The sequence below is a fragment of the Homo sapiens genome, chromosome 4 (assembly GCF_000001405.40).
Source record: "Homo sapiens chromosome 4, GRCh38.p14 Primary Assembly".
Lineage (NCBI taxonomy): Eukaryota > Metazoa > Chordata > Mammalia > Primates > Hominidae > Homo > Homo sapiens.
Window position 1 is genome coordinate 89,736,989 of NC_000004.12, and position 12,815 is coordinate 89,749,803.

Below are 12,815 nucleotides of genomic sequence, written 5' to 3' on the forward strand. Positions count from 1 at the left end.
ATTATACATGCTATGCTATTATATATGCTAAGCCAAACCTAGCAACAAGGCTGAGTGAAGATGTGGCTCCTGGGTCATATGCTAGGCTTTCTTTCGGCAAATGGACTTGCTCTCCCTCAGTTATGTTACATACCTACTCAGATCAGGTCTCAGCAAATGTACAAATTACTATGTCATCAGCCATCTGGATCACTTGGGAATAGTCACATTGGTGAACGCTGTAAGTCATATCTTAAATACATTATACATAATCCATACCTACAGATTGAGAATGCAAATCTATTTTAATTAAATGATACCTTTAGAGAACCCAGTCTTACACATAAATAACATATATTTAGAAGCCATTTATGCTCTACTTTGTTTATCTTTTGTTTAGAGGCAGGGTCTTGCCCTATTGCCCAGGCTGTAATGCAGTGATACAATCATAGCTCACTGTAGTCTCCAACTCCTGGGCCCAAGTGATCCTCCAGCCTCAGCCTCCCAAATAGCTGGGACTATAGGCTTACACCACCATGCTCGGCTATTTAAATTTTTTTTTTTTATAGAGATGAAGTTTCATTATGTTGCCCAGGCTGGTCTCAAACTCCTGGACTCAAGTGATCCTCCTGCGTCAGCCTCCGAAAGTGCTGGGATTACAGGCATGAGCCACTGCACCTGAGCCGTGCTCTACTTTGGATAATCTGTTACTATCTTACTGATTTTCTTGTCTTTTGCCCTTCTAGCTGTTTCTTTAGTCTTGGCAATCACCTTAGAGAGAGAGAAAAAGAGAAAAGATGAAATAAAAACAATTTATTTCAGTTTTTAAAGGTTTGGCAGTGGAGGAGAGAGTAAAGCTAATATATTAAATATATTTGGGGTTATTTTGGGGAGCTATTTACTAGTTTTATCTCTGAATTCAGGTTTAAATACATTCAACCATAAATTAAAAAATAATTGGTGGATAAATCAGGAATTGGTGCAAAATCATTTTTAAGAAGAAAATGTCATTATATAGCAAAGAGGTAGTATGCTGCTTTAAATCCTTATTTTCCTTGGCAAGCCTAACAAGCAGGGCAGTGCCTGCTGTATTTATGGTAGTGCCATATAATTAGCTGACTCACCTAATAAGACTTCACAGCGCAGCAACAACTGCCAGCTTTTTTTGTCCTGTTACTTGGATAGACTCGGTTGAATATACTAATGCACAAAGGGAAATCTGGGAATAAACTATTTTTACTTTTCATGTCTAAGGGCTGATCCTCCTCTTCTAGAAATAAAATTTATTATGTATGTTAAACTATATTCAAATTTGTTTACTATTTTAAGCTTTCATGGATTAGAATCTTGAAGGTCAGCCCCTTGGGTAGTGACTGAATAAGACATTAACGATGTGAAGATGGGTCAAGCTGAGAAAGGTTTGCTCTTGTGCTGAGCTCAGAATCAATAAGTCATTTCATGTTTGCAAATACAATGATATTTGGAGGCAGGTCTTTTTTTTTTTTTTTTTTTTTTTTTTTTTTTGAGACAGAGTCTCGCTCTGTCGCCCAGGCTGGAGTGCAGTGGCGCGATCTCAGCTCACTGCAAGCTCTGCCTCACGGGATCACGCCATTCTCCTGCTTCAGCCTCCCGAGTAGCTGGGACTACAGGCGCTCACCACCACGCCTGGCTAATTTTTTTGTAATTTTAGTAGAGACAGGGTTTCACTGTGTTAGCCAGGATGGTCTCGATCTCCTGACCTCGTGATCCACCTACCTTGGCCTCCCAAAGTGCTGGGATTACAGGCGTGAGCCACTGCGCCCGGCCAGAGGCAGGTCTTAAAACTAGCAACTGGGTGAGAAATCAGTGGGGAGGGTAGGCTTTGACAAAGTAAGAGATAAAGAGTCTGCTTTCATATTTTAGAAAAACCCAGGGAATGCTGAAAAGCCCATAGGAAAGAAGAAATATGCTGTCAAGATGTTAGTGAGCCAAGGCCCAGGAGTTTGCTCTCAAAAACAGATGAGAAACTGGACTTAAAATCTGACTGGGAGAAAGTACTTTAGGCAAAACAAACTACTCATATACAAAAGGATGGGCTCTGAAGCAGAGAGTGAAGGCAATAGCTTCAAGATCGGTGGATTTAAAACCTAGAAGTATCTTCTCTAAAAGATAAAAGATTAAGAAAGGCTTTAAGATAGCTAGAGCAGGAATAAAGTAGTCAAGTGAATGTGATACCACAAGGTTCCAGAAGTTTCCATACTAATAGAAACAGATACTAAGTGAAGTTTGAGGGGCCCTCACAATCTGGATAGAAAACTCTTCAAGTAGATCTCAACCTTCAGGCTGGAATATCTTTGCTTAGCTATCCCAGCCAGAGGACCATAGTGGTTGATTTCAAAAGGAGTTGCAATTATTCTATCTTGTAAATTCTCTCATTGTTAAGTTTTGTCACAGTTTGTTGTTGCTACTTTCTTTCAGTTACCTAGAAAATGTTTTCTCTGAAAACCTCTATCCATGCCTCAACAGATCGGAGATAAAAAAGGAATCATCTTACAAGATTATCAAGAAAGATAATGGGCTAGGTGTATCCTTAAAAGGTCATTCAAATGAAATATTAAAATTCTTACTTTTCTGTGTTATTCGGACATGGAATAACAATAACAGTTAATGTTTATTTGGTGCTTACTCTGTATTTGGTACCATTTCAAGAGTTTTATATGCATTATTTGATCTTAAAAAACAACTCTTTGAGGAAGTTACTACTGTCTCCATTTTATCAGTGAATGAACAGAGATAGGAAGTCTGGCTCCAAAGCCCACACTCTTAACTATTATGCAATATTAGTTGTCAAATGTCTTGAAAAAAAAATCTGTGTAATTACTAAAATATTACGCTGGGCTACTTATTAAGGTAAAATTACGTTTCAAAAAAATTAATCCTTTCCAAATGCAATGTTAACTATTCATGATGAAATATCAGAACTATCTCTAATACCAATATTTTTATTGGAATAAAATAGGAGGTTAAAGGAAATGTTTATATATATAAATGTGTGTATATATATGTATATACATATATATATACTATGCACACACACACATACATATCTATGTGTATATATATGATTTTTTGCAAGGGCAAAAACCAGATTTTTTTTAAACACATAATCATTAAATCTGCAAATATCAAGTTTATCAATTTTTTGTTACAGGAAAAAATAGTTTATTATAAATTCAATGCATAGCATTTTCTGGTTTAGACCTTTCCATTATTGTTCTGACAGAACAAAGACTATGAGGTTGTCAGAAATAAATTGTTCATTTTGTTTCCTAAATATGTGGCAAAGACATTGTATGTTTTTTGTTTGTTTGCTTGTTTGTTTGTTTTAGAATAGTTTGAAATGTCTTCAAACCTTTTGACCAACCAAGAAAGCTTTTGCCTGGGCACAGGCTTTATCTTTCTTAGCATTACACTAGAGATACTAATCCCTCCCAACAATTTCATTATGATTATCGCAATAAAATATAACGATCCATTAAGTCCATGGGGCAGATGTTTATTTATTTATAACCATGCCTTATTCCACAGAGAATTTAAAGAGGAATAAAAGATTATTTCCTCATTGCATCAAATGAATATCTTTTATTTTGTCTAATGTTGTATTTCTTTTTCTTTAATTGGCACTAAATGTTTATTTGCATTCTTTTAATTACTTTTAAGGCATCCATTATTTCTGGATTACATTACTGAACTCTCAATAAATCAATACATAGTTCTGTATATAATTTTTTCAACATTTTTTCCTTCTTTAATTTGGTTCATTTGTATCTCCCTTTGCTGTTTATTGAGTAGAAATTCTGATTTTTGTAGCAAAGGGAGAACAAACAAACAACACACAGAATATTCTGTATTTAATGCTGCAATTGTCTCTATGGTTGCAATGTGTAGGTGGGGTGCATTCAAGTGGGCTTGTGGTATTTGTGTGTGTGTGTGTGTGTATGTGTGTGTGTGTGTTGGAAGAATATATATTGAGGATGATTCCTAATTTTATCACTTTGTTGAGGAACTGAAATTGTGGCTACACATTCACTCTAAATATTTTGTCTCACAGTCCCCTCCCTTCAACAATTATATACAGTACACTATTTGTTGGAAGCTCAGGAGAAAAAGGGCATTTAAGAGCATGAGATTTGGTGGCAGACTGACCTAATAGTAGATGGTACCAGTGAGATCTTGAGCAACGTAAATGTTTCAACTGAAAAACGGTAACAATAAAACATTTTTCAGAGTGATGTTGTACTAAATGAAATGATATACATAAAGTAGCCTATAATGACCCATGCACAGTCATAATATCAAATATTTACTGAGCATCTACTATGTGCTAGATTATTTTAAGCACTTTTGAAAATATAAGTATTTTGATAAATGTATATCATATATTGTCTTAATAAGATTATATTGTTGTTATATTTCATCTTATTGCTAATTTTATTTTTTTAAGAAAACCTTTTTTTGGAAAGAATCGAAACTAAAAACCCAACTATTTAAAAAATGGAAACTTTTGGCCGGGAACGGAGGCTCACACCTATAATCTCAGCACTTTGGGAGGCCGAATGGGCGGATCACAAGGTCAAGAGATTGAGACCATCCTGGCCAACGTGGTGAAACTCCGTCTCTACTAAAAATACAAAAGTTAGCTGGGCATGGTGGCACATGCCTGTAGTCCCAGCTACTCGGGAGGCTGAGGCAGAAGAATCGCTGGAACCCAGGAGGCGGAGGTTGCAGTGAGCCGAGACAGCACCACTGCACTCCAGACTGGCGACAGAGTGAGACTCCATCTAAAAAAAAAAAAAAGGAACCTTTTGCCTTACTTCGTTTGCTAGCTACATTCAAGTCTGCAATTAAGCTCGGTGTTTTGCCTTTCTCAAACTGTGCACAGGTCCTCTTGTTTGTTCCCCTTCTCTCTGTTGCCTAGGAATACAGCCAAAAACTTGAGTAATAGATGATAGATGGGTCTGTCACTAAGCACATCCTAGTGACATAGATAAGAAGCAAATGCTACAAAATTATAGGTGCAAACTACAAGTTGTGTTTTAATTGGTTTTAACAAGTACTTATAAGCAGAAGAACTGTGAAAAATCTAACATTTTGTCCTACTTGCAAGCCTGCCAGTCTTTTGAGTGCTGGGCAAAGACACAATAGTGCTGGGTCAGAGACAATTAACTTTACTACTCACATTAATAGCATTAGCAAGAGTATCATGATTTTCTTGCACTGATTCCTCAAGCCGCAATTCCCACAGAAAAGCTCAGGTGACACCTACATGCTCAGTGGGTTGCATTAGAAAAGAGGAACGCAGAGCTCAGGAAACATGGATATTTTATAATGGCCAGTAAAGATGTCCCTTTGCTTTAGAAAGAGGCACTACCTCTATCCAAGGCTGCAAGCACACCTGCCTTTTGTTTTAGAAGGAGAAATGATTTCTATCTTCCAAGGCTGTTCACTATATGAAAAGACAGTCCCAAACAAAAGGCAGTTACTGACTTGCTTGAAAAATGTGCAGAAATGATACGCTGCTTGAATGTGGACAGCTGACACAGGGACAAGGAGTAAAAATGATTAGGTTTTGAGCTTGACCAACTAGGAAGATAATTATTAGCAGTAGAGAAAAAAAGAACAAAGTAGATTTTAGGGCAGATAAGCCATTTTTTAGGTAGGTTGAGTCTGAGATGCCTCCATAAATATAAGTTGAAAATATGAGATTGGAGTTGAGACTTCAGAAATACATATTTTGAGTAGTTACACTACAGAGGTAAGTCATCAGAGTTCATAAAATTAAAGTGAGAAAAAGAGGCAAGTGAAGAAAAACAAGATGGCATTGCATGAAGAACTTTCTTAGGAAGGAAGGCAGCAAAGAGGTAAAATTGGAGGTGTAGTCAGAGATGGAAGATGAAAAAGGAAAATAACAATATTTCAGAAATGAAATGAAAAAGGTCTTTTACTAAGTAATTGGTACTACTACTTGTCAGTTTCAAGTGCTGTAAAAAAAATGGGAAGAACCACACATGTGCACTTTCAGTACTATGTATTTTATGCTTCAGGGATGCATACCTGTTTAACAAAAGTATGTTTTTTCTCAAAGTGTGTTGAATAGTCCAGAAAAAGATGGAGGTAGAAGTCAGACTTCAGGAGATAAAGGAACCAGAAAGATCATTGAAGGCTGTGATGGTAGAAAACATTTTGACAAAGAGTTGTGCAATGAGAAAGCTAGGGGTGGGACAATTAATTTTGAGGGTAACAATTGGGGATTTGAGTAGATTTTTTGCTTCTGTTCTTTAATTGTTTTGTCTTCTTTTTAAAGAAACCAAGAGACTGTTAATGTAGTAGGAGCAGAGTTTCACAATACAGAGCAGAGAGGGTGTTGGTTGATAAAGAATTGTCTCAAATGAGAGGAAAAGAATGGAGCCAATAACAGAGATGATGTTTAATTTGGGAAAGGTGGGACATGTTAACATGAGTCCAGAGAACTAAAATGAGCTTATGGCATGCAGATGCTGAAGATGAAGAAAGGAAAGGAAGGAAAAGGAGGAATTTATATTTATTTATTGAATAATCTTGTAAAACTGTTAATCACCCCTTTTTACTGACGATAAGACATAAATGTCAGAGGTGTTTTGCCTAAAGTAAAAAATTCGATAGTCAAGCTGGGTTTAAAACCATATCAGTCTTACGTCAAAGCATGTTTTAATTGCTGTTGTGTGGTTGTGATTTTAAGGGAAGAAGAAGAGTTTTATAATGGGTTCTCTGAAAAATAAAATATCAATTAGAAAGAAACAAAACAACTGCTGAGAAGCAGTGAATCCAAGCAGAATCTGAGTATCATCACTTTTTAGTTAAACTAACCAGTCCAATATCCTGATTTTTCTTTAACAGGCAAAGAATTTTTGAGTCTTTCCCATAGACTGAGTTCTTGTGAACTATTTTACAGCAATAATGGCATCCAATCCTATAGATAACAATAACAAAGCTGCAGACCATTTTGTTGCCAGGTTTCTCCTCCAGGGTGGCTTTCCAGCTAGTTTGTAAACAAATAACTCAGGTGGCCCTGTCATGTTACATTAACTAAAAACCAAGTCTAAAGCACACATATAATAACATATGTGTGTGCAAACTGGCTTGCTTTCAAATTCCTAAATCATACAATTAAATTTTAAAAATAACTGTATTTGGAAACAAGAAAAAAGTCACTTTGACACCCAACTGATGTATATAAAGGAGACTGTGCATATGGGTTTTAAAATGAGATGAAAATTGAAATTTGATCTTTGAGATTAAAAACAATGTTATGTAAATCTATTTTTATTTAATTTTTCTGAAAAATATTGTATTTGCTTTATACCCTCTTGCTATACAAACTTATATTGTTTTGCTTACCCTCTTTTTTTATTCCTCCTACTTTTTCTTAATTTTGATATCTCTGAATTTAAAGTCTAGAGAATGATTCATCTTCACTAGTTCTATCTTTTCCAGTGCTAGTATTTTTGTTTTTGAGCTGTGGTTTCCCTATCCCATTTTTGAGATCTCAAACTATAATTTGGTGTCGAGTACCCAGGTATCTTATCTTTAAAGTGAAGACGTAGGCAGCACAAAGGTGCTTTTATTAGAACGTCCACTAGATCAGAATGACCAGTGCACAAAATTTATTTTCCTAGCAGACTCACCAAATTTAACCTGGAAGAGAATGTCTGACTCTGTTGAATTTTCTTAGGCAAATACAATATTTGAAAGTCACTGAATGTTTCAAACAAAATATAACAACATTCAGATAACAGAACTGTGTTATTGTTCTCATGTGTTTATGCCCAGAAAATAAGCAGACTGGAGCTTCTCTAAGATTAAAAGTCAAAACAGTATTACAATTCCAGCCCAGATTTGACTATCTAATCATTTAAACCTTAGTATCATCATCATCACCACCGTCACTGCATACTCATTAAGTTAAAAAAAATTCCTTTAAAATAAATGGAAAAGAAAATATCTGTGTAAATAGATTAAAGCGATTCCTGCTCACCACTCCCTTTCTCCCTGGGGCAGGAGACTTGAGCACATCAAAGGAACTCATAGCGTTCTTGGAGTAAGTGTGAAAGCCACCGTGATGAACTAAATGAATGCTTACATCTAAAGAAAGATGTAAACATATTACATTAAAAGGTGGCATGACATAATGGTATATCACTGATTAAGAAATGTGAGGCGACTTTCATGTGCCACTGATAAATCATTATAATTTGACATAGTAGATAATGCCCCTATATTTCATCTGCATACCTGGAAAATGAGGACTTTCAAAACATATTCCTGCCAGTTACAGTCAGGTATTGCAAAACAAGCATTTAGTGAGCATCTAAACTGAAGCTTAGAACTTCAGTTTTGTGGCGGGGCGCGGTGGCTCACGCCTGTAATCCCAGCACCTTGGGAGGCCAAGACAGGCGGATCACTTGAGGTCAGGAGTTTGGGACCAGCCTGGCCCACATGGTGAAACCCCATCTCTACTAAAAATACAAAAATTAGCCAGGCATGGTTGCACGCACCTGTAGTCCCAGTTACTCAGGTGGCTGAGGCAGAAGAATCGCTTGAACCTGGGTGGTGGAGATTGCAGTGAGCTGAGATCCTGCCACTGCACTCCAGCCTGGGCAAGAGAGTGAGACTCCATCTCAAAAAAATAAAGAACTCCAATTTTATTTTCTTCATGGCATAGCATAATAGATGAGTTAACAAATTAATGAAACAGATTGACATGTGTTAATTGCAATCATATACAGAACAGAAATCATTTCCATAAAATATTTAACCTGCCTGTTACTTCCCCTAAATCTCTCTGTAGCTGATGCCCCAATTTCACTATTAGCTCTTCAGACTTGGATGTTAAGCACTGTGCCTTCCCCTGGACCTCTCTTTAAATGTCACAGCTATTTCTGGCAGGTAAGACTATTGCTTTGGTTAGTGTGAACACACACCACTGTGGATCACAAGGCACCTGAGAGAAAAGGCTGCCGAAAGCAGGAAAATAACTCAGAAAAAAGAAAAAAAAACACATGGTGCTGAAAAATACAACAGATATGCATTTGTATACTTATGATCTAATTTATGTCAGTCATTAAAAGAAAATAAGGTGTTTAGAAAATACAGTGCTGTCTATGGTTATATTTAATATTGTGACCACTTAATACAAAGCAAAGCATTCTTGCTTGCTCTCATGGAGAGTGCAATTTAGAATTGAGAGCTCAATTTCTAAGGAGGGTTTATGTACTCTATCTTGAGGCACACCAAGGAGATTGAGTTTACCAGTTTAGAAAGCACTGCCATAATTCAAGTCAGGGAGAGGGCTGATGGAAGATTTTTAAAAGATTTTAAAAGATCATGAGGGCAAGCTGGCTTTTAACAAAACAAAATATTTCCATGTGGCTTCTGGCTGACTGAATTAATAAGGCCCAGAGACTGATCTGAAGGCAAAAGCCTTTATTTTTTATTGCAATGGAGAAAAACTGAACATTATTTGACTATCAGTTGTGAAGTTTAGTAAAAAGATTTTCACTAATGGGTGGTTTTAATATTTATGAATGTGATGGTTCAGCAAATTTTCTCCAATGTTTTGCAAGACCACTAATTAATAATCATCTTTACAAATGGAACATGTAATTGTCTGCTACTATTTTTTCTTTGCCAATGCTTAATACTTATTTTGAATACGTTTTATTTTTTTTCTAAATTTCTCTATTTATTTCTACCTGAGCATTTCTTAATTTTTTTATTCAGTCCTGTTATTCTCACTGTAGGATTTTTAAAAGCTGGTATATTATATTAAAATCCTTCAACTGTGAATTCAGCAATGTTTTGAGTTCCAGGGATTCATCTGGCATTAGGCTGACCTTGTCAAGCATAAACATCAACATTAAAGAAAATATTTAAGAAATGAAAGGCCTGAATCAAAATAAGAGGTCAAATTTTCCAGGGTGTTTTGTGTCTTGAAAATCTTTCTGCTGTAATTACCTAAAGACTGTGGTTAGATAATTATTGAGGGACTTTTGCAATTGTCCCTTTTCTCTATATAGATCACCACATTAATTAAACGAGAGTCTCACTGGGAACAGGTTGCTGTTCTGCATCTTTAAGTATTTTTAGTACTTTATTTTCAAAAGAGAAAAAGAACCACTAAGAAGAAGATTGCTTCTCAGCCAAATTTTCTGATATACAGATATTCTCAAAAGACAAGCACACACACACACGCACACACACACACACACACACACACACACACCCCCCAAGGCTCTGGAATGTGCCTTAACAATCTTATTTTTGCACATTTTAAAAGGAGGTCATTATGAAATTTGCACATATTTTATGACCTGTAATGTACTTCTCTGATCTGATTTCACTTGAGCTAATAAAAAAATACAAATCAGGTGCTTGCTGTGATCAAGATGCTAAAGTTATATTTACACTGCTTCATAAATGTAAGGTGTTAAAGCTTAGTGAGACAAGAAGTAAACTGATAATTGATTAACCAGGGTGCTATACAAATCTACCTAGAGGGTGCCTTCCCAGGTTAATGCAATTATGGGAGAAAGATCCTGGCTCCTGGCTACAGAAATGCCAACTAAAGTGTTATCCACCCCATCCTTCACTTTGGAGGATGCGTTAAGATGACACTGTGCTGTGTCAAAATGAAAATACAAACAAAAGCAAATAAACCGAGTGATAATAAATAAACCGAGTGACTCAGTTTCCTTATCCATTTTCCAGTTACCTTTTTTTTTTTAGGCCAGTCTGCATGTCCACTAGAAGAAAAGGGACCTGGGTTCTTCATCAGCCCATCCTTAGATCTTAGTGCACATATGCACCTAGTAAGTGCCGAGCAAATATTCAATGAATGACTGTACCTTTCCTAAGAATTCTTCGTTGATTATCCTTCAACAGAGCTAACTTCTCTCCCTATGTGCTCAGTCAAATGCTCTCCCATTGGACTGAGTTCAGCATAAACTGCCATGTTTTGAGATGATTGGTGTAAGCGAATGTCCTCTCCTGAGTTGCGAGAATCTAAGAGCAGGACAACATCACATGCTTCTCTACTTTCTATAGTTCTTTTGTCCACTGTCTAACAAATAATGCCAAGTGAAAAAGGGAAAAATGAATGAATAAATTTTGTAAGATGCCAATGGAAAAAAACAGAAAATCAAGAGTTACTAAAAAAAACCACTAACTCCATTTAATTGTTTTAGACTAAGAATCCCTCAGTGATACCTAGCCAAAATTAGGATTCAGATCCAAAATAAAAGATACTGTTGCCCCAAGTAGATATCATAATTTGTTACAATAAGTAAAAATGTATATTATTCAATACTAAACTGTTATACCACATTTCAAGTTTTTAAAACTTTATCTTCCTTTTATGCATAGATAGTAGTAGAGCATTAAGAACATGCATGGCTATCACCTGAGGTGTTGATTGTAAATTCACATTCCTAGGCTTTGTCTCTTAACTACTGAATCGGAATCTTTGGGAGTGAACTGACAGGAATCTGAATTTTAAAAATAAGGTCTTCAGGTGATTCTCATGCATCTAAAGATAACTGCTTTAATATATAACAAAGAAACCCAAAGAGGGACACTTGAGGATTTTTTCAATATATCTTCTTTTGCAGAGATTAATAGTGAATGTTGTTTTATCTGCTGTTTAGAATTTTACATATGCATTGGATGATACATCTTCTTTTACTGACAAAAAGGCTTTTCTCTGGAGAAAATAAAAAGGCAGCTTTCCCTGAGAGCACACACTTCTAGCAAAGCCCCAATCCATATGACTCTAAGACAGAGTGATTTCCACCTTCTAGTCCTTACTTTCTTGCAAAAGGGGCTTTCAAATCTCATTACTGATGGTCCCATCTTTTATTACTGGTGTTATCAATGGGATGCTTGCAGCAGCTTAAGTATGTGGATAAAGAAGGAATGCACAATATACGGTACTGAATATTTTTAAAAAGTGGTCTTTCAGAATGTCTGTATGTGTGGGGGCCCATGCTTAGGCATATGTGCATGCCAGTGTGTTATTTATGTTGAAACCAATGTTTTACATTAATGGCTGGAATTCCAGAAAAATAAGAAAATATTTGTATTTTCTAAACCATTAAAAGTTTAGTGGAACTCATTAATAGTCTGTATCATCTCTCTGTATATTTCAGAAGTACATTTTAAGTGTAACAGCTAGGGGTAAACTTTCATAACTGTATGATTTGAACACAAGTACAAGAAATATTCAAGGTTTTCTTTTCTTTTTTTTTTTTAGATGAAGTCTCACTCTTATCGCCGTAGCTATAGTGCAATGGCGCTGTCTCAGCTCACTGCAACCTCCGCCTCCTAGGTTAAAGCAATTCTCCTGCCTCAGCCTCCGTAGTAGCTGGGATTACAGGATCCTGCCACCACACCCACTAATTTTTGTATTTTTGGTAGAGAATGGGTTTCACCATGTTGGACAGGCTGGTCATGAACTCCTGACCTCAGTCGATCCACCCGCCTTGGCCTCCCAAAGTGCTGGATTACAGGTGTCCACCGCGCCTGGCCAATATTCAAGTTTACACAGGAAAAAGAATACTTTCTCTGCATAACCTTTACTTATTTACTCATAAGCCTCTAGTTCTCTCTGGATTTGACTGTAAATCTCAACACATTTCCCAGAAACTAACATCTTCTGGCTGACTTCTATTAAAAATTCAGACAAAGAAAAAAACTGAATACAATGGAGAGAGATTATAATACTGCTATTCTCCCATTCTCTCTCTCTACAGCATATCACCTCC

General features: G+C 36.3%; 1 protein-coding gene and 1 long non-coding RNA gene across 14 annotated transcripts in view; one reads left to right on the plus strand and one right to left on the minus strand.

Moving 5' to 3' along the window:
• SNCA (synuclein alpha) overlaps positions 1-12,815 on the minus strand; it is a 114,206-nt gene that overhangs the window by 12,890 nt on the left and 88,501 nt on the right. The window lies entirely within an intron of this gene.
• On the plus strand, positions 1,477-12,166 carry LOC124900856 (uncharacterized). 2 transcript variants are annotated; one of them, XR_007058473.1, is made up of 3 exons: positions 1,479-2,555; positions 4,070-4,223; positions 4,463-12,166. It is a non-coding gene; the product is annotated as an uncharacterized LOC124900856 (long non-coding RNA). The 2 variants fall into 2 exon arrangements; XR_007058472.1 differs by having other exon boundaries at positions 1,477-4,223.